This window comes from Homo sapiens, chromosome 2 (genome assembly GCF_000001405.40).
Source record: "Homo sapiens chromosome 2, GRCh38.p14 Primary Assembly".
Taxonomy (NCBI): Eukaryota; Metazoa; Chordata; class Mammalia; order Primates; family Hominidae; genus Homo; species Homo sapiens.
Genome location: NC_000002.12, coordinates 95,078,149 through 95,100,431, shown reverse-complemented (window position 1 = coordinate 95,100,431; position 22,283 = coordinate 95,078,149). Strand labels below are relative to the sequence as shown.

General features: G+C 42.6%; 1 protein-coding gene across 6 annotated transcripts in view, besides 1 other annotated feature; it reads left to right on the top strand.

The window, feature by feature from the left end:
* Positions 1–15,063, top strand: part of MRPS5 (mitochondrial ribosomal protein S5) — a 36,635-nt gene extending 21,572 nt beyond the window's left edge. For all 6 annotated transcript variants that reach the window (NR_136152.2, NR_136153.2, NM_001321997.2 and 3 more), the window contains 2 exons: positions 9,910–10,046; positions 12,851–15,063. Coding sequence is in view for 4 of the 6 variants with exons in the window: in NM_001321997.2 (NP_001308926.1) it covers positions 9,910–10,046; positions 12,851–13,075 (362 nt within the window). In the remaining 2 variants the exon portion in view is untranslated. The remainder of the gene's footprint in view (positions 1–9,909; positions 10,047–12,850) is intronic.
* Positions 12,414–12,979: an enhancer, noted in NCBI's record as "NANOG hESC enhancer chr2:95753198-95753763 (GRCh37/hg19 assembly coordinates)". NCBI's record gives its function as "activates a minimal SCP1, AML or CMV promoter by ChIP-STARR-seq in naive H9 embryonic stem cells {active_cell/tissue: H9 hESC(naive)}" and the evidence as "EXISTENCE:reporter gene assay evidence [ECO:0000049][PMID:30033119]".
* Positions 15,064–22,283: the final 7,220 nt, after the last annotated feature.

Here is a 22,283-nt window from a genome sequence, read left to right as displayed (position 1 = left end):
AAATTATAACAGTTCTATCCTCTCCTCTATTTTTGTTCATCTTTAGTTGAACTCATCTTGGAAACACCAAAATGTAAAAGGCTTATGTTAGATTTAAGAACGATGAGGCTCTTGGAGAAATAAGAATAGTCAAGGCACACAGGCTACTGTGAGCACAGGCCTGTTCCAGGAATAATTTACGGTGGGGAGAGCACATTGGAAACGGGAAATAGCACCTGAGTGAGTAGTAGGGTTTGGAGGAGTGGGAACATTAGTTCCTCATAGGGAATTCATTGATGCATTTAGGTGTTTCAGTTCTGACTCAGGTCCAGGTGTTTAGTGCTCATCAAATTCTGATTGAATGCCTTCTGTGAGCTGGGTGCTATGCTAAGCACTAGGGATGATGCAGAGATGGTCTTTCCTGTTTTGTGGACAAGCAGGCAGGCAGGCAGAGTTCAGGGTCATGGGCTAGGGCAGTCATGCCTAGTGGTCTCTGAGTGTAGGATTCTTGAACCTGCTGATTTGCATTTCACCTGTAGTTCTACAGTAAAAAATGATTTTATATAACTTTTGGTATATAAGTCTCAAAAAGTGTGAGTCAGAAGAGATGAAACATTATATTTAAAATTTCATATCAAAGCTTCTAATACAACGTTGCTAGAGCCATGGCTTGGAAATAAATCAGGAAAAAACCCTCAAATACAGAATCAGTTGTGTTAATGCACTAGAACTTGCCTTCTGCTTTAAAGCCATAATTAATCATTTAAATGCTGGATAAAAACCATGTGTTTTGTCTTTAGAAAAGGTGTTGAGTGGACTTCAAGGTTTAGATCTGTGCTGTCCCATACAGCAGCCACTAGTCACTAGCGGGCCTGGCTATTGAGCACGTAATATGTGGCTATTGAGATGTGCTCTAATTATCAAATACACACCAGGATTCAAAGACCTAGTACAAAAAAAGAATATAAAATATCTCAAAAATATTATTGTATTGATTACATTTTAAATGATAATGTTTGGACATATTGGGTTAATAAAACACATCTCTAAATAAACTTTTTAAAAAAAACTTTTCAAAATGCATCTATGAGAACATTTGAAATTATATATATGGCTTCTGCTTACGACTTGGATCATGTTTATGTTGGGCAGCATAGTTTAGATACATTTATATCTCAATGATGTTTGAATGACTGCTACAACTTTTTTTTTTTTTAATTTTAAAAATAATTTTTGGCCGGGCACGGTGGCTCACGCCTGTAATACCAGCACTTTGAGAGGCTGAGGTGGTCGGATCACGAGGTCCGGAGATTGAGACCATCTTGGCTGACATGGTGAAACCCCATCTCTACTAAAAATACAAAAAATTAGCTGGGCGCAGTGGCAGGCGCCTGTAGTCCCAGCTACTCGGGAGGCTGAGGCAGGAGAATGGGGTGAACCTGGGAGGTGGAACTTGCAGTGAGCCGAGATATCACCACTGCAGTCCAGCTTGGGTAAAAGAGCAAGACTAGTCTCAAAAAAAAAAAAAAAATAATAATAATAATAATTTTTATTTCTCTGGCAAGGTCCCCATATGTTTATGTATTATATTCATGTTTTCTTTCTTTCTTTTTAAATTATACTTTAAGTTCTAGGGTACATGTGCACAATGTGCAGGTTTGTTACATAGGTATCCATGTGTCACGCTGGTTTGCTGAACCCATTAACTCGTCATTTACATTAGGTATATCTCCTAATGCTATCCCTCCCCCACTGCCCCCAACCCACCACAGGCCCCAGTGTGTGATGTTCCCCACCCTGTGTCCAAGTGTTCTCATTGTTCAGTTCCCACCTATGAGTGAGAACATGCGGTGTTTGGTTTTCTGTCCTTGAGATAGTTTGCTCGGAATGATGGTTTCCAGCTTCATGTCCCTACGAAGGACATGAAACTCATCCTTTTTTATGGCTGCATAGTATTCAGTGGTATATATGTACCACATTTTCTTAATCCAGTCTATCATTGATGGACATTTGGGTTGATTCCAAGTCTTTGCTATTGTGAATAGTGCCGCAATAAACATATGTGTGCATGTGTCTTTATAGTAGCATGATTTATAATGCTTTGGGTATATACCCAGTAATGGGATGGCTGGGTCAAATGGTATTTCTAGTTCTAGATCCCTGAGGAATCGCCACACTATCTTCCACAATGGTCGAACTAGTTTACAGCCCCACCAACAGTGTAAAAGCCTTCCTGTTTCTTTACATCCTCTCCAGCACCTGTTGTTTCCTGACTTTTTAATGATTGCCATTCTAACTGGTGTGAGATGGTATCTCATTGTGATTTTGATTTGCAAAACCAGTGATGATGAGCATTTTTTCATGTGTCTGTTGGCTGCATAAATGTCTTCTTTTGAAAAGTGTCTGTTCATATCCTTTGCCCACTTTTTGATGGGGTAGTTTGATTTTTTCTTGTAAATTTGTTTGAGTTCTTTGTAGATGCTGGATATTAGCCTTTTGTCAGATGGGTAGATTATAAAAATTTTCTCCCATTCGGTAGGTTGCCTGTTCACTCTGATGGTAGTTTCTTTTGCCATGCAGAAGCTCTTTAGTTTAATTAGATCCCATTTGTCAATTTTGGCTTTTGTTGCCATTGCTTTTGGTGTTTTAGTCATGAAGTCCTTGCCCATGCCTATGACCTGAATGGTATTGCCTTGGTTTTCTTCTAGGGTTTTTATGGTTTTAGGTCTAACATTTAAGTCTTTAATCCATCTTGAATTAATTTTTGTATAAGGTGTAAGGAAGGGATCCAGTTTCACTTTCTACATATGGCTAGCCAGTTTTCCCAGTACCATTTATTAAATAGGGAATCCTTTCCCCATTTCTTGTTTTTGTCAGGTTTGTCAAAGATCAGATGGTTGTAGATGTGTGGTGTTGTTTCTGAGGCCTCTGTTCGATTCCATTGGTCTATATCTCTGTTTTGGTACCAGTACCATGCTGTTTTGGTTACTGTAGCCTTGTAGTATAGTTTGAAGTCAGGTAGCATGATGCCTCCAGCTTTGTTCTTTTGGCTTAGGATTGTCTTGGCAATGCGGGCTCTTTTTTGGTTCCATATGCTCCATATGCACTTTAAAGTAGTGTTTTCCAATTCTGTGAAGAAAGTCATTGGTAGCTTGATGGGGATGGCATTGAATCTGTAAATTACCTTGGGCAGCATGGCCATTTTCACGATACTGATTCTTCCTATCCATGAGCATGGAATGTTCTTCCATTTGTTTGTGTCCTCTTTTATTTCATTGAGCAGTGATTTGCAGTTCTCCTTGAAGAGGTCCTTCACATCTTTTGTAAGTTGGATTCCTAGGTATTTTATTCTCTTTGTAGCAATTGTGAGTGGGAGTTCACTCATGATTTGGCTGTCTGTTGGTCTGTTATTGGTGTATAAGAATGCTTGTGATTTTTGCACATTGATTTTGTATCCTGAGACTTTGCTGAAGTTACTTATCAGCTTAAGGAGATTTTGGGCTGAGACGATGGGGTTTTCTAAATACACAATCATGTTATCTGCAAACAGGGACAATTTGACTTCCTCTTTTCCTAATTGAATACCCTTTATTTCTTTCTCTTGCGTGGTTGCCCTGGCCAGAACTTCCAACAGTATGTTGAATAGGAGTGGTGAGAGAGGGCTTCCCTGTCTTGTGCCAGTTTTCAAAGGGAATGCTTCCAGTTTTTGCCCATTCAGTATGATATTGGCTGTGGGTTTGTCATAAATAGCTCTTATTATTTTGAGATGCGTTCCATCAATACCTAGTGTATTGAGAGTTTTTAGCATGAAGGGCTGTTGAATTTTGTTGAAGGCCTTTTCTGCATCTATTGAGATAATCATGTGGTTTTGACATTTGGTTCTGTTTATGTGATGGAGTATGTTTATTGATTTGCATATGTTGAACCAGCCTTGCATCCCAGGAATAAAGCTGGCTTGATCGTGGTGGATAAGCTTTTTGATGTGCTGCTGGATTTGGTTTGCCAGTATTTTATTGAGGATTTTTGCATCGATATTCATCAGGGATATTGGTCTAAAATTCTCTTTGTTTTTGGTTGTGTCTCTGCCAGGCTTTAGTATCAGGATGATGCTGGCCTCATAAAATGAGTTAGGGAGGATTCCCTCTTTTTCTATTGATTGGAATAGTTTCAGAAGGAATGGTACCAGCTCCTCTTTGTACCTCTGGTAGAATTTGGCTATGAATCTGTCTGGTCCTGGACTTTTTTTGGTTGGTAGGCTATTAATTATTGCCTCAATTTCAGAGCCTGTTGTTGGTCTATTCAGCGATTCAACTTCTTCCTGGTTTAGTCTGGGGAGGGTGTATGTGTCGAGGAATTTATTCATTTCTTCTAGATTTTCTAGTTTATTTGTGTAGAGGTGTTTATAGTATTCTCTGATGGTAGTTTGTATTTCTGTGGGATTGGTGGTGATTTTTTATTGCATCTGTTTGATTCTTCTCTCTTCTTAGTCTTGCTAGCAGTCTATCAATTTTGTTGATCTTTTCAAAAAATGAGCTGCTGGATTCATTGATTTTTTTGAAGGTTTTTTTTGTGTGTCTGTTTCCTTCAGTGCTGCTCTGATCTTAGTTATTTCTTGCCTTCTGCTAGCTTTTTAATTTGTTTGCTCTTCCTTCTCTAGTTCTTTTAATTATGATGTTAGGGTGTCGATTTTAGATCTTTCCTGCTTTCTCTTGTGGGCATTTAGTGCTATAAATTTCCCTCTACACACTGCTTTAAATGTGTCCCAGAGATTCTGGTACGTTGTGTCTTTGTTCTCATTGGTTTCAAAGAACATCTTTATTTCTGCCTTTATTTTGTTATTTACCCAGTAGTCATTCAGGAGCAGGTTGTTCAGTTTCCATGTAGTTGAGCGGTTTTGAGTGAGTTTCTTAATCCTGAGTTCTAGTTTGATTGCACTGTGGTCTGACAGACAGTTAGTTGTGATTTCTGTTCTCTTACATTTGCTGAGGAGTGCTTTACTTCCAACTACGTGGTCAACTTTGGAATAAGTGCGATGTGGTGCTGAGAAGAATGTATGTTCTGTTGATTTGGAGTGGAGAGTTCTGTAGATGTCTATTAGGTCTGCTTCCTGGATATCCTTGTTAACCTTCTGTGTCATTGATCTGTCTAATATGGACAGTGGGGTGTTAAAGTCTCCCATTATTATTGTGTGGGAGTCAAAGTCTCTTTGTAGGTCTCTAAGGACTTGCTTTATGAATCTGGGTGCTCCTGTATTGGATGCATATATATTTAGGATAATTAGCTCTTGTTGAATTGATGCCTTTACCATTATGTAATGGCCTTCTTTGTCTCTTTTGATCTTTGTTGGTTTAAAGTCTGTTTTATCAGAGACTAGGATTGTAACCTCTGCTGTTTTTTTGCTTTCCATTTGCTTGGTAGATCTTCCTCCATCCATTTATTTTGAGCCTATATGTGTCTCTGCACGTGAGATGGGTCTCCTGAATACAGCACACTGGGTCTTGACTCTTCATCCAATTTGCCAGTCTATGTCTTTTAATTGGGGCATTTAGCCCATTTACATTTAAGGTTAATATTGTTATGTGTGAATTTGATCCAGTCATTATGATGTTAACTGATTATTTTTCCCATTAGTTGATGCAGTTTCTTCCTAGCATCGATGGTCTTTACAATTTGGCATGTTTTTGCAGTGGCTGGTACCGGTTGTTCCTTTCCATGTTGAGTGCTTCCTTCAGGAGTTCTTGTAAGGCAGGCCTGGTAGTGACAGAATCTCTCAGTATTTGCTTGTGTGTAAAGGATTTTATTTCTCCTTCACTTATGAAGCTTAGTTTGGCTGGATATGAAATTCTGGGTTGAAAATTCTTTTAAGAATGTTGAATATTGGCCCCCACTCTCTTCTGGCTTATAGAATTTCTGCTGAGAGATCCGCTGTTAGTCTGATGGGCTTCCCTTTGTGGATAACCCGACCTTTCTCTCTGGCTGCCCTTGATATTTTTTCCTTCATTTCAACCTTGGTGAATCTGATAATTATGTGTCTTGGGGTTGCTCTTCTCAAGGAGTATTTTTGTGGTGTTCTCTGTATTTCCTGAATTTAAATGTTTGCCTGCCTTGCTAGGTTGGGGAAGTTCTCTTGGATGATATCCTGAAGAGTGTTTTCGAACTTGGTTCCATTCTCCCTGTCACTTCCAGGTACACCAATCAAATGTAGATTTGGTCTTTTCACATAGTCCCATATTTCTTGGAGGTTTTGTTCGTTTTTTTACTCTTTTTTCTCTAAACTTCTCTTATTGCTTCATTTCATTAATTTGATCTTCAATCACTGATACCCTTTCTTCCACTTGATTGAATTGGCTACTGAAGCTTATGCATGCATCACGTAGTTCTCGTGCCATGGTTTTCAGCTCCATCAGGTCATTTAAAGTACTCTCTACACTGTTTATTCTAGTTAGCCATTTGTCTAATCTTTTTTCAAGATTTTTAGCTTCCTTGTGATGGGGTTTGAACATTCTCCTTTAACTTGGAGAAGTTTGTTATTACCGACCTTCTGAAGTCTACTTCTGCCAACTTGTCAAAGTCATTCTCCATCCAGCTTTGTTCTGTTGCTGGCGAGGAGCTGGGATCCTTTGGTGGAGAAGAGGCGCTCTGGTTTTTAGAATTTTCAGGTTTTCTGCTCTGGTTTCTCCCCATCTTTGTGGTTTTATCTACCTTTGGTCTTTGATGATGGTAACCTACAGATGGGGTTTTGGTGTGGATGTCCATTTTGTTGATGTTGATGCTATTCCTTTCTGTTTGTTAGTTTTCCTTCTAACAATCAGGTCCCTCAGCTGCAGGTCTGTTGGAGTTTGCAGGAGGTCCACTCCAGACCCTGTTTGCCTGGGTATCACCAGTAGAGGCTGCAGAGCAGCAAATATTGCAGAAGAGCAAATATTACTGCCTGATCCTTCCTCTGGAATCTACGTCTCAGAGGGACACCTGGCTGTATGAGGTGTCGGTCGGTCCCTAGTGGGAGGTGTCTCCCAGTTAGGCTACACGGGGGTCAGGGGCCCACTTGAGGAGGCAGTCTGTCCATTCTCAGAGCTCAAACACTGTGCTGGGAGAACCACTGCTCTCTTCAGAGCTGTCAGACAGGGACGTTTAAGTCTGCAGAAGTTTCTGCTGCCTTTTGTTTAGCTATGCCCTGTGCACAGAGGTGGAGTCTACAGAGGCAGGTGGGCCTCATTGAGCTGCGGTGGGCTCCACCCAGTTCGAGCTTCCTGGCCGCTTTGTTTACCTACTCAAGCCTCAGCAATGGCGGACACCCCTCCCCTAGCCAGGGCTGCTGCCTCACAGTTTGATCTCGGACTGCTGCGCTAGCAGTGAGCAAGGTTCCATGGGCGTGGGACCTGCTGAGCCATGCCTGGGATATAATCTCCTGGTGTGCCGTTTGCTACCACCATTGGAAAGACACAGTATTTAGGTGGCAGTGTCCCGGTTTTCCCGGTACAGTCTGTCACAGCTTCCCTTGGCTAGGCAAGGGAAATCCCTGGACCACTTGTGCTTCCCGGGTGAGGCGATGCCCTGCCCTGCTCCATGGGCAGCACCCACTGTCCAACCAGTCCCAGTGAGATGAACCAGGTACCTCAGTTGGAAATGCAGAAATCACCTGTCTTCTGCGTCAGTCACACTGGGAGCTGCAGACTGGAGCTGTTACTATTCGGCCATCTTGGAACGGAATCCTATTCAAATGACTGCTGTAATTTTAATTTAATTGAAGAACCTACCTTTTAAAATCTTTCCTGTCTTCTAATCAAAGCTGTATTTTTCAGGTTTTTGTATGATCTAGACCATTACCTATGTATCGGGGTTAATATTCTGATTTTGAAGCTAAAACAGTATATAATACTTTTAGACGTTTCCTGAATACATACACATTTATAGACATTTTGTACATACGTGTACAAATAGGCATTTCCTAAATGATGTGCCTATGTGTTACTAGTTCTGTAGGAGATAGAAAAGGTTTTACTCCAAAAAGGATGCCAGATGGCAGAACTGGATTAAGGAAAGGCACCAAAAGTATTTTTGCATCTTTGTGAATGTTGCAATCTTTAATGCACTGCCATGCAATATGAATCTCCCAAGAGAAATGGAGGGTGTGGTGTTCCCAAATGTATTTAACCATGGAACACTTCTACTTCGGCTATAGAACAGTATTCAGTTCCACACACAGCACTGCAAAACTTTGCCATATTTATTAAACAAGTGTTTTTTGACAGTCTGTGCCTGGAAGGTAGTCAAATCATTACCATCGGACTATGACCACTGTCACGTGGGTGTTTGTGTATGTGTCACACAGTGGCCAGTGTTCATGCAGTGTCTGTGCTGGTCCAGGTACTGTGTATTACACATCTCAGTGCTCATCAGCAGCACTGCCAAGTAGGTGTTGTAGGGAGGGATCTTCTTGCCACAGTCATTCAGCGAGCAGTGGCAGGGTAGAGGCTGCCTCTCAGCTCCTTCCAGAATCTGCATGATACCCCCTTCCACGTGTACCTCTCTCTAGGTGTGTGCACACCAGTGCTCATCCAGACATGGGTGCATTATGTTCACGTGTCGGCGGCACCTGTTCTGTGTGTACATAACTCCACCTGGAAGAACAGAGGACCCCATTGTGACCTGTCTTTAGCTATCCCCTTAAGTTCTTGCATGCTCTGGCATAATTATGGAGGCCACAGTTCATTGGCCCTTTCAAGTAGAAGGAATAGTTTTTGACCATAAAAAGTCAAACTAGAAAGCCATTAATGTCCAACTTCCAGAGTAGATTTTCTGCCTTGGAGCAGAAGAGGTGTGTGCCGAGTTTTATGTCTGGCAAATAATGTTAGAGGCCAAACTTGGGCCCTGCAGCTCCCTCACTCCACCTGCATTTGCCAGGTACTGCTCTGGGCTCTGGGGACACCGCGGTAAACAATATCCTGGCCCTCATGGGAGCCATCTTCTACTCAGGGGAAGCATTGGATAAACAGGTTTCGTTGAGTGCCCTAATCAGGGTACTGTGTTAGAGTAGGAGGGAGGAAGGCAGAAGGAAGGATGCCACCTTGAATAGCATGGTCACAGAAGGCCTGTCTGAAGAGGAGCAATTTGAGTGGGACCTTGAAGGTGAGAAGGAGCCAAGGGGGCAGAGCTGGGAGGACATTCCAGGCAGAGGGAATCCCAAGTGCAGTCCTTAAGGTGAGGAAGCCAGCAGGAGGTGGCGTGTCTCTAGATGAGGTCAGGGAGGTGGGCGGGCAGGACTCAGGCACAGAAGGCTCTGAATAGGCCATGGTGCTCTTTATATTAATCTCGAGAACAGTGGGAAGGAGGGATCTTTAAATGGGGAGCAACTTGTTTGGTTTGTGTTTTTAAAGCTCTCTGGAGAAGGAATTACAGGCAGAAAAGGGTAGGGCCAGTGGCTGGAGGGGAGACCCCCCAAGATTTAGAGGCCAGCAAGGAGGAGAGGACAGGCCAATAGCTAGGAGGAAATCCAGGAGAGGATGTGTTACCAAAACGAAAAGAGGAGCTTCTTCAGGAGGAGGAAGTGGACCCTCTGCTCAGGGCAACGGAACTATCAAGGAGGGTGAGAAGAGACGTGTCCCTCCATCCTTAGTTAAATGAGTCTGGGGTGCCAAGAATTTTCATGCATGTTTATTAATCTCAATAACAATCCTGTTTTTTTGCCCTCAAAATGTGTTCAAGATATTTGTAGATGTCATCTTCTTAATCCTTGTAGTATCCTGTTTGAGTAAGTGTCATCTTGGAAGTTAAGTAAGTTGTCAAGGGTCAGCTCACTAGGAAGTGGTGATACCAGAATATGAACCAGTTTCCCGAAGCCCAGAGCCTGAAGCCATGCGAAAGCCAGCAGGGTGACTCCTCCGGCTGCAGGCGAGTGGGCTGTGTTTCACCCGGTTTCTCCTTTTCTAGGTTACGGCCTCCGCTGCCACAGGGCCATCATCACCATCTGCCGGCTCATTGGCATCAAAGACATGTATGCCAAGGTCTCTGGGTCCATTAATATGCTCAGCCTCACCCAGGGCCTCTTCCGTGGGCTCTCCAGACAGGTAATCCTTTCCCGGGGTCTGAAACAGAGGTTCTAGTTTGTATTTCAGTTGTGTGTGTTGGGGCTACGATGCCCTGGGGCCTCCTGGAGATGCTTTCCTGGGGCCACCTGAGGAGTTGGGCATTCTTTGTTGTCTGTGACTGCATCAGTTTAGTTAAATCCATTGACAAGTTCATGAAAATTACCTTTTTTTTTTTTTTTTTTTTTTTTGAGACGGAGTCTCGCTCTGTCACCCAGGCTGGAGTGCAGTGGCGGGATCCCGGCTCACTGCAAGCTCCGCCTCCCGGGTTCACGCCATTCTCCTGCCTCAGCCTCCCAAGTAGCTGGGACTACAGGCGCCCGCCACTACGCCCGGCTAATTTTTTGTATTTTTAGTAGAGACGGGGTTTCACCGTTTTAGCCGGGATGGTCTCGATCTCCTGACCTCGTGATCCGCCCGCCTCGGCCTCCCAAAGTGCTGGGATTACAGGTGTGAGCCACCGCGCCCGGCCTGAAAATTACCTTTTAAAAAGTACTTCATGGGTTTTTCTAAGCAGCATTTTTAAAGCCAATAATTACAATCTACATGTTATTATGAAAATAACACCTGCTTGTTCTAAAGCTCCAACAGTATAGAAAAGTAAAATCAAAAGAGAAAGTTCATTTCCTAATTTAGTCCTTTCAGTTGGGGCTAGGATGAAGCACCCAGGGCACCTCTGCACACAGGGCAGGCACAGTCAGTTCCCTGTTACCTGTGTAGGTGGTTCGGACTGATGCCTGGGTTGGTAGGGAACTATGAACATTAACATATCAGGTTACTTTTCCTCATAGGTGGGAGCCCTGGGCCCGGCTCCCAATCACCCACCATGGAGGGCAGGGCTGTGACTGCACCGGGCCCCCATTCTTGGGCAGCTCCCCTACCTGCCCAGGAGGGCTGGCCTGTCTCTTGAAAGGATGGGTAGACCTTAGCATAGGTGGATGAACAGAAAAGACAACCAGGTTCAATAGGCTCCATTTGCTGAACTCTGTTAGCTGAGGACTTTGGCAGGCTTCCTGACATTTCAGGAGTACAGTGGTGGGTTTTAGGTAAAGTGATCCATGGAGTAATTTTACATGTCTCTGTTTAAAGTAGGAAAATTAAAAGAAAAAGAAGGCTTTGGGTAAAAGCCTTCTGTTTTCTGAACAGCTTTTGTGTGTGTTACTGTCTAAAACACCCTTCAGAGCACTTGTAAATTGAAACATTAGAGGTTTAATTAAGATGTTGATTTTAGATAGGTTGTATTTATGATCCAGTAGACTTGTTCTGTTTTTGGTTTTTGGTTTGTTTGTTTTTGCTTTTTGAGACAGAGTCTTGCTCTGTCACCAAGGCTTGGAGTGCAGTGGCTCCATCTCAGCTCACTGCAACCTCCGCCTCACGGGTTCAAGCGATTCTCCTGCCTCAGCCTCCTGAGTAGCTGGGACTACAGGCACGTGCCACCATGCCCGGCTAATTTTTGTATTTTTAATAGAGATGGGGTTTCACCATGTTGGTCAGGCTGGTCTTGAACTCCTGACCTCGTGATCCACCCGCCTTGGCCTCCCAAAGTGCTGGGATTACAGGCGTGAGCCACCGCGCCCAGCCTAGACTTGTTCTTTTATGTGATATCTTTGTTTTCTTTTAGTCTTTTAAACCTTCTGATATAGTTACCATATGTCATCTCTCCTAAAATGCCATCAGCTATAAAAGGTTGCATTATTTAATATGTCACTCAAAAAGGAAAAGATGCCACCACTTTAGGTGATATGCCTTTGATTGAAAGATACACCAATATAAATTATTTTGTTTATGAAATGGCTCATCTGTTTTCTAATTTCACACATACTGCAGGGCATTAGATATATAATTAGAATAGTGCAAGGCAGCCATAAGGCCTGGGATCACGGGATTGACATAGCAGGTATGTCATTGTACCATGAATAACGTCTACTGAACTAATCTGCCTGCTTCCAGATCTCTGTGGCTTCCCTCTGCAGTGAATCCCCATGGCCCTGTTACCCAGCTCATGACCAGTCTTGCTTCTTAGTACACCCCCAGTTATTTTGAACCAAATCTCAGACATTTTATTTCAACCCTAAATATTTTAGTATGTATCTTCGAAAAGATGAGGATTTTAAAAAATACCCTGTAATACTATTATCATACCTAAAAAGTTAACAGTAACTTGTATCATCAAATATCCAATCAATGTTCATACAAATGAGCAAATTCCATTTGTTAGATTAAAAAAAATTTTTTTTTTTTTTACACAATGTGTTTGAATCAGGTTGCAGAACAGGTTAATGTATGTTTTTGCTATGCCTTTTAAATAGGTTCCCCTCCTCTTCCCCCACCCCCGCCCCGCTTATGATTTTTTGTTGAGGAAACCAGGTTGTTTGTTTTGTAGTGCTTCCTGGCCTGTTGCTGACTAAAATACCTGTAGGGTCCTTAGTGTCTTATCTCCCCTATATTTACTGTAAATTGGTAGTTAGATCTAGGGGGTTGGTGAGATTCAAGTTCAGTGTTTGGCACAGCATGGTGCATAATCAGGAGGGTTTAGAAGGCAAGAGACCAGAGGCCAAGGCCCTTCCTCTATCCAAGTTTGGGGTGGGCAGATGCAGCAGATGAGGCTGAAATGACTCCACCCATGACAGGTTATTAGAGTTTAGCCACAAAACACATTAACCCAAATCCACTGAAATGGCCTTTGAATACCCCCAGGCTGTACTGTTGTGGCCTGTGGAAGTTCCTGCTCTTTATGTTGCAAATGTACTTCAGACCTAACCTGTTCTGAATTTGGTCTTGCTTAGGAAACCCATCAACAGCTGGCTGATAAGAAGGGCCTCCATGTTGTGGAAATCCGGGAGGAATGTGGCCCTCTGCCCATTGTGGTTGCGTCCCCCCGGGGGCCCTTGAGGAAGGATCCAGAGCCAGAAGATGAGGTTCCAGACGTCAAACTGGACTGGGAAGATGTGAAGACTGCACAGGGAATGAAGCGCTCTGTGTGGTCTAATTTGAAGAGAGCCGCCACGTAACCTCTCTGGCCTTGTGCAGCCAGTTCCTGTGCTGCCCTGCACCTAGGAGAGACTCAGCCCCTCACAGCTTGGGATGTTACCTTGCCTTTTGTTTGTTTTGAGGGAAGTTTAATCTTTAAACTCTTTGGAAATAAATAATTATAGCTTTCATTTGTTGAGCACATGTTATATGCCAATGTGATAGAACCTTTACATACATATCTCAGTTCAAGACTACTTTAAATATTCATCCAAAGTAACAAAAGTAAATGAATTAGGGAGACGGGGTTAATAATTTGACCCAATCAGTAATAATGTACACAATGATAATTGCTGTAGTAATTATAGCTAATATATATGAACTCATTCATCCAAAGTGAATGTGATTAACTTCATTTTACAGAGCAGTTAAGTAACTTGACTACCGTGAGGAACTTCCAAACCGTTTTCCACAGTGGAAATGGAAGTTGTAGGCTACTATTGGGAATGTTAAATGGTATATTAATTGTATACCATTGCAATTTTGACTTGTATTTCCCTGATGGCTGATGATGTTGAACATCTTTTCATGTGCTGATTGGCCATTTGTATATGTTTTTTGGAGAAATGTCTATTCAGAGCCTTTGCCCATTTAAAAAGTTATTTTTTATTATTATTGAGTTCCTTATAGTTTCTAGATATAAGCCCCCCTATCATACATGCTTTACAGAAGTTTTTACCCATTCTGTGGAATATATATATTTTTATTTCTTTGCATACTCTTTCTGCCCCACCCACATCCTCTTTCTGGGACACTGATGACCAAAATGTTGAATCTTTTACTATTGTCCCGTGAGTCCCTGAGGCGCTGTTTATTTTTTTTCCAGTCTGTTTTCTCTGTGTTGCTCAGTTTAGGTAATTTCTATTGTTTTATCTTCAGAATAACTGGTTATTTACTCTTTCCTTTCCATTCTGCTCTTGAACCATCCATGCAGTACTTTAACTTTGACTGTCATTGTATATTTCAGTTAAAATTTCCATTTGGTTTATTTTTTATGTCTTCTCTTTATTTGCTGAGGCTATTTGCTGAGACTTTTTTTTTCTTTAAATGGCTTCAAGAGTGTTTATAATTGCTCACTGAAGCATTTTTATGGTGGCTGCTTTAAAATCTTTGTCATCAGGTAGGTGTGGTGGCTCACGCCTATAACCCCAGCACTTTGTGAAGGTGAGGCAGGAGGATTGCTTCAGCCCAGGAGTTTGAGATCAGCCTAGGCAACAAAGTGAGACCTCATCTCTACAAAAAGTAAAAGTAAATTTAAAAGTTAGACACACATGGTGGTGTATGCCTGTAGTCCCAGCTACATAGGAGGCTGAAGTGGGAGGATCATTTGATTGCAGGAGGTTGAGGCTGCAGTGAGCCTTGTTCATGCCACTCCAGCCTGGGTGGCAGAGTGAGACCTTGTCTCCAAAAAAAAAAAAAAAATTGTCATAAAGTTTCAACATCTGTGTCATCTTAGTGTTGACATCCCTTGAGGTTTTTTCTCATTCAAGTTTACAATGTCCTAGTTCTTGTTATGATGAGTGACTTTGGCTGTATCCTGGTCATCTTCACTGTTATGAAGCTCTGGGAGTTATTTAAATCTCTCAGCATGCTTCCTCTGACGGTGCTGGTATGGGATGGGGCACTGCCTCGTTACTGCCTGGTGAGGATGGAGATCCAGGTTTCCTCCTGTCGCTGTCCTCGGGACCTCTGCTGAGGCCTTTCTGCTGGAAGTAGGAGGAGCACCCTAATGGCACCGTGGGATAGGGAGCAGGCCATGTTAGGCTGGATGGTGAAAGTTTTCAGCCTGTGACGTTGTCTGGTGTGGGTGGGTCCCCTTTTTTTGTGTGTGGTATTTTGCTAGAGTAAGGTAGTTATTTCCTAAAACTTATCTGTCCTGTTAGTTTTCCTTCTTAAGTACCTAACAAATATAAAGACAATGAACTTTAAGCAATAAAAGACAATGATCCTTTGGAGAGGGGAAACAAAATTATCTGTACTTACTATCTGCGGAGAGTCCGTGGTTCTAGGAAGGGTTACCCCATCAGGACCTGGCGGTCTCCTGGAGTTGAGGTGCAGTTGGGCAGTCGAAATGACTAGAGTTCACAGGGGAGAATGCCTTGGAGGAGAGAGTTGCACAGCAGGAGAACTAAGATCTGCAGAGAGTTTCCATCAGATATTTAGTTACACACTAATAGTGCATGCCGGTGAGGAAACTCACCCAAAAGAATTAGAGGGAACAGTGTTTGGAGTGGAAAATAGTGCCTGTTATCAACAGTCACAGTGGAAAACCTTGTAATCTAGGTGGCATTGGAAGAGAACTAAGATGCCCTAGTAGTAGAAAAATTAACTCTACATAAAAACTACCCCTGGTCCCAACTCAGAAAGCTTAAAAACAAGACCAAACTGGAACACAACTGTTTCAAAGTAACTTAATTGTGTTCCAGAACAAAGCTCAAGAATATAGGAATACAAAAAATATACCCAATAAAGTAAAATATACAATACTTGGCATCTAATAAATCACTAGGCAGCCAGGCGCGGTGGCTCACGCCTGTAATCCCAGCACTTTGGGAGGCCCGAGGCAGGCGGATCACCTGAGGTCAGGAGTTTGAGACCAGCTTGACCCACATGGAGAAACCCCATCTCTACTAAAAATACAAAAAAATTAGCCAGGCGTGGTGACACATGCCTGTAATCCCAGCTACTTGGGAGGCTGAGGCAGGAGAATCGCTTGAACCAGGGAGGTGGAGGTTGTGGTGAGCCAAGAACATGCCATTGCACTCCAGCCTGGGCAACAAGAGCGAAACTCCATCTCAAAAAAAACAAAAACAAAAACAAAAATACTAGGCATGCAAAGAAGCATGAACATAAGCTCATAATGAAGTGAAAAATTAGTCCATCAAAACTGACCCAGGAATGGCACAATGACAATCAGTAGACAAGGACATTAAAGCAGGTATTATGACTGTATTCCATATGTTCAGAAAGCTAGAGAGAAAAACATGGAAGATACAAAACACCAAGTTGAACCTCTAGAGATGAAAACTGCAATATCTGATGAAAAACGCTGAATGGGATTAACAGCAGATTGGACATCTCAGAAAAAGATATGAAAGAATTGGAAGACAGCAACTTAAACAGGAAAAAGACTGAAGAAGGTAGGAGAAATTGGGCATTAGAGAACTATGGGACAACTTTGGGAGCCAAATACGTGTATAATTGGAGTCCGTGGAGAAGGGAGGTATAAAAAACAATTTGAAGAAATGGCCGGGCGCAGTGGCTCACGCCTGTAATCCCAGCACTTTGGGAGGCTGAGGCGGGTGGATCACGAGGTCAGCAGTTCGAGACCAGCCTGGCCAACATGGTGAAACCCTGTCTCTACTAAAAATACAAAAATTAGCCAGGCATGGTGGCAGGCGCCTGTAACCCCAGCTACTCCAGAGGCTGAGGCAGGAGAATCACTTGAACCCAGGAGGCGGAAGTTGCACTGAGCCGAGACCGCGCCATTGTACTCCAGCCTGGGTGACAGAGCAAGTCTCAAAAAAAAGTTTTTTTGAAGAAATAATAGCTGAATTGATGGCAACTACTGAGACCCAAGAAATATAATAACTATCAATCAAATTTCAACTAGCAATAAAGAGGAAGTTTTAGAAGTGAGGAAGAGAGAGAAGATTAGGTACAGAGGAACAAAGGTAAAGATGACAGCAGCTTTCTTGTAGGAAACAAGCCAGAAGCAGGAGGAGCCTGGTAGGTGTTCACTGTGGGGACATGGTAAGTTCCTGGAGGTAAAACTCGTAGAAATGTTCCCCACCAGGACTGGGTCCCTCTGGAGTTTTCACCTTTCAAATTTGGCCGCACTGAGCGTCTAGCAATTCATCAGTTAAGTTGAGTTTTCCCTACCCTGAACTTCTTCCTGGAATGGTTCTGCCAGTGGGTTTCTGCTCTGGTAAGTTGTGATTCTTTGAGTCTAGCCAATTTCTCAACTTCTGGAGACACCAGTTTGCCCTGTGAACTCAATTCTTTGATAAATCTAAGAAGAGGTTTTGATTTTTCAGTTTATTTAAGTTTTTACTTATTAGTATGGAGTGTTGGCCTCCAGGCTCCTTATACACCAGACCAGAAACCAGAAGTCTAAACATGTCAATTAAACAGTAGAAATTACCAGATTTCATTTTTAAAAAGCAAGACCCAACTATATGTTGCCTATAAGAAATCCACTTTAGATATGAAGACTGATAGGTTGAAAGTAAAAGGGTGGAAAAATAAACCACGCTAATGTAAGTTCATAGAAAGCTGAAGGATATGTTAATACTAGACAATGTAAATTTCAGAGCAAGGACTATTATTAGGGATAAAGAGGGCCATTTTATAATAATAATTCATCAGGACAACATAGCAGTCCTAAACATTCAGACACCTACAAATAGAACTTCAAACGCATAAAGCAAAAACTGATTGGACTACAGAGAAAAATAGAGCCACAATTAATAGAGATTTTAACATCCCTGTCTCAGTAATTGGCGCAAATAGAATTGGTAAGGATATAGAAGATGTGAGCAGCATTATCAGCCAGCTTGGACTTCATTGGCTTCTTTTTTCTTCTTTTCATTTTTAAGAGATGGGGCCTTTCTCTGTTGCAGAGGCTGGAGTGCAGTGACACAATCATAACTCACTGCAGCCTGGAACAATGAAACTCAAGGGATCCTCCCACCTCAGTCTCCTGAGCAGCTGGGACTGTAGGCTTGTGCCACTGGACTCAGCTGATTTTTAATTTTCAATTTTTTTTGTAGAGATGGGGGCCTCACCTTTTTGCCGATGCTGGTTTTGAACTCCTGGCCTCAACCAATCCTCCTGCTGTGGCCTGTCATTGACTTATAGAACACTCTACCACCAACAGCAAAATACATACTGTTTTCAAGGGCATACAGGACAGTTACCAAGATGGACTATGTTCTGGGCCATAAAACAAGTCTCAATAAATTTAAAAGGATTTAAGTCATACAGAGTATATATTCTGATCACAGTGGGTTTACATTAGAAATCAGTAGCATCTGGAAAATCCAAATATTTGGAAACTAAATGACACCTAAATAACCATGAGAAAGAACAAAAATAAAAAGGGGGAAATTAGCATTTTGAACTGAACAGACTAAAGCTACAGTCATTTACCTTGTGGTACCAGTGAAGATAGACACAGATCAATGGAAGAAAATAGAATATAGAAATACACCCTCCAAATGTGGTCAGTTGAGTTTTGACAAAGATGCAAAGGAAATTTAGTGAAGAAAAGATAGGAGAATAGGAGAAAGATAGGAGTGGTGGAATAGATGGATATCCATATGCAAAATATGAGCTTTGAACCATATATCACACTATATACAAAAACTAACCAGTGATGTTTCACACCTACATTTACAACCCAAAACTAAAACTGCTAAAAACCTAGACGCAATCTTTGTGACCTATAGCTACAATATCAAAGGCACAATCTGTATGTTGATAAATTGAACTTTATCAAAATTCAGAATTTCTTCTCTTGAAAAGATAGTTTGAAAAAGTCTTCCACAGACTGGGTGAGTCACACATGGAAGAAAATGTTTGCCAGACATATCTAATAAAGGACCTGTATTCAGGATACATAAATCTCAAAACTCGTAATTAGAAAATAACAATAAAAATGGGCAAAATATTTGGACACTTACCAAAGAAGATACAGATATGGCAAATAAGTCCATGAAAAGGTGCTTATCAGTCATTAGAGAAATGCAATTAAAACCACTGAGAGATACCACCACATACATTAGAATGTCTAAAGATCCTTCTGCCAAATGGTGAAGATAGGATGAAATAACTGGAATTCTTGTACATTGTTAGTGGGAATGTAAAACGGTACAGTCACTTTGGAAAATGCTTGGGCAGTTTCTTAAAATGTTAAAGATATACTTGCCACATAACCTGACAATTCCCTTCCTAGGTATGTATCCAAGAGAAACAAAAGCATCTGCCCTTACCAAGACATGTATATAAATGTCCATAGCAGTTTAATTTGTAATAAAAACTGGAAACAACACCAATGTATATCAACAGGTAAATGGCTACATTTTTATTGCTGAGTAATAACCATTGTATGGATATACCACAATTTGTGTAGCCATTTACCTGTTGATATACATTTGATAAATGAATGATCAATAAAAATGGACTATTGGGCCTGGCGTGGTGGCTCACGCCTGTAAACCCAGCACTTTGGGAGGCCGAGGTGGGTGGATCACGAGGTCAGGAGATCGAGACCATCCTGGCTAGCTTGGTGAAACCCCTTCTCTACTAAAAAAAAATACAAAAAAATTAGCCAGGTGTGATGGTGGGTGCCTGTAGTCCCAGCTACTTGGGAGGCTGAGGCAGGAGAATGGCGTGAACCCAGGAGGCAGAGCTTGCAGTGAGCCGAGATTGCGCCACTGCACTCCAGCCTGGGCAACAGAGCAAGACTCCGTCTCAAAAAAAAAAAAAAAAGAAATGGACTATTGATACACAATACAGATGGATCTCAAAATGCGTTGAGTGTAAGAAGTAAGACCAAAAAGTGAGCACATGCTGTATGATTTCATTTCTGTAGAATTCTAGGAAGTGCGAACTAGTCTATAATAACAGAAAGTGGATCAGTGGTTGCCTGGGGCTGGGAGGGGGTAAAATGGGTGTGAGGGAGGGATTACAAAGGGGCATGAAGCAGCTTTTGCAGGTCAGGTGGCAGATATGTTCAACAAATTGGTTGTGTGATGGTTTCACAGTGTATATATATATATCTCAAAACTTCACCAAGAGTACACTTTTTTTTTTTTTTTTTTTTTTTTTTTTTGAGACAGAGTCTTGCTCTGTCGCCCAGGCTGGAGTGCAGTGGCACGATCTCGGCTCACTGCAAGCTCCGCCTCCCGGGTTCATGCCATTCTCCTGCCTCAGCCTCCCGAGTAGCTGGGACTACAGGCGCCCACCACCATGCCCAGCTAATTTTTTGTATTTTTAGTAGAGACGGGGTTTCACTGTGTTAGCCAGGATGGTCTTGATCTCCTTACCTCGTGATCTGCCTGCCTCGGCCTCCCAAAGTGCTGGGATTACAGGCATGAGCCACCGCGCCCAGCCAAGAGTACACTTTTTAGTGTGCAGTTTATCTAAACATCTTTACAACCACCAGGGGGCAAGAAGAGCTTCCCAAATATAGCAGTCCCTGTTTACTGGATGCTGCAATGTAGACATTGATGATTCTAGTAGAAATCTATCTGTCCTTTTAGTGAAATAGTTTGCAGTTAGAAATGCTTGTGTCCGGGCCAGGCACGGTGGCTCATGCCTGTAATCCCAGCATTTTGGGAGGCCGAGACGGGCGGATCACGAGGTCAGGAGATCGAGACCATCCTGGCCAACATGATGAAACCCCGTCTCTACTAAAAATACAAAAATTAGCTAGGCATGGTGGCAGATGCCTGTGATCCCAGCTACTCGGGAGACTGAGGCAGGAGAATCGCTTGAACTCGGGAGTCGGAGGTTGCAGTGAGTCAAGATTGCGCCACTGCACTCCAGCCTGGGCTACAGAGCAAGACTCCATCTCAAAAAAAAAAAAAAAAAAGAAGAAGAAAAGAAAAGAAATGCTTGTGTCCTACAGAGGTAATCATTTCTGTTTGAAATGCTAGATGTGGGATCTTCAAGCTATAAATACCTACTAGCAACATGATTCCAGATTTGCATGACAAAGACTACCTTGAAAGAATTGCATTTGCTTTTCTTCCTCTCCTGAGCGGTTTTCAAACACCTTTCAGCTGCAGATCATGCATTCACACTGCAGTTTATCACTAGCCTAAAGTGTAAGTCAGGGTTGTGGGGCAGAGGCAAAACGCACACAGGATCTGGGGACTGCAGCTTGAAAACTCATCAACTTGCTGTGTGACGTCAGTCGTGTTGCTTAACTCTTCTGTCCGCCCCCAGCACCCTCCACCACCATCTTAGCTTTCTGAAAGTAATGAGCTCTCCATCGCGTAAGTGTTACATAAAATCCACACTGTCAGCCAGTGTAGCATGGGTGGAGAGTAAAGCATCCTGCTGTGTGTCATTGGTGGCTGATGGGCTGCAGGGGACAAACAGCAGCTCAGCTCCTAGACCTGTGGCATGTGAGTTGAGTCAGCATCTCAATAGCCCAGTGCTGCTACTTCTAAGAGGCTCATTTTTAAAAAAATTTTTAATTTTTTTTAGGGACAGAGTCTCGGTCTGTTGACCAGGCTGGAGTGTAGTGGTGTAAACAGCTCACTGCAGCCTCGACTTCCTGGGATGAAGCGATCCTGTACTTCAGCCTCCAGTGTAACTGGCCACAGGCACATGCCACCACACCCAGCTAATCTTTTTTTTTCTTTTTGTAGACACAGTGTCTCACTTTGTTGCCTAGGCTGGTCTTGAACTCCTTGCTGAAGCAATCCTCCTGCCTCAGCCTCCCAAAGTGCTGGGATTACAGGCGTGAGTAACTGCGTCGGCCAGAGGCTCATTTATTTTTAGAAAGGCAAGCAAATGAGAGCCGAGCTCTGGGTGCAGGCAGAAGCAATGAGTGTCTATGCTGCACAGTGCTGTCACTGGCTGCCACAGCTCTGCAGCCTGCGACAGGGAGAAGCACCTTGGCTTTTTCTTAGCACTCAAATCAGTGATTCTGGACCCTCAGAGATTTGCTCGTTACTTTGATATTGATTGAGCTCCTCATTCTTAACTAGAATATTGTTTGGTGTGTGTTAGTGTCCTGTGACTTTAAGGTTTTTTTTTTTTTTTCTATGTGCTGACATTTATTGAACACTTGACATGTGCTTGACAGTGTTGTAATCCACTTACATATTTAAATTAACAACCTTGAGCACTTAGATCCCCAAATTAAAAAACTTGCTCAAAGTAACACATAGCTAGTAAGAGGTGAGGCCACGGTTGACACCCAGGCAGGCTGGCTCCAGTGCCCAGCTCCTAAGACAAGCTGCCCCAATGAGGCTGGACAAGTTCCCTTACCTGGGAATCCCAGCTCAGAGAGTTGAGGGGAGGCAAGGGTTTCAAGGCCTTTGAAAGAAAGCTCAAGGAGCACTGAGGAGTGAAAGGATTTTTGCGTAGGGTCATAAGGGACAGTAGGAGGTGTGTGTGTGCATGTGCGTGCACACACTGGGTAGAGGGCCAAGGGACTGTGGCCTCGGGGAG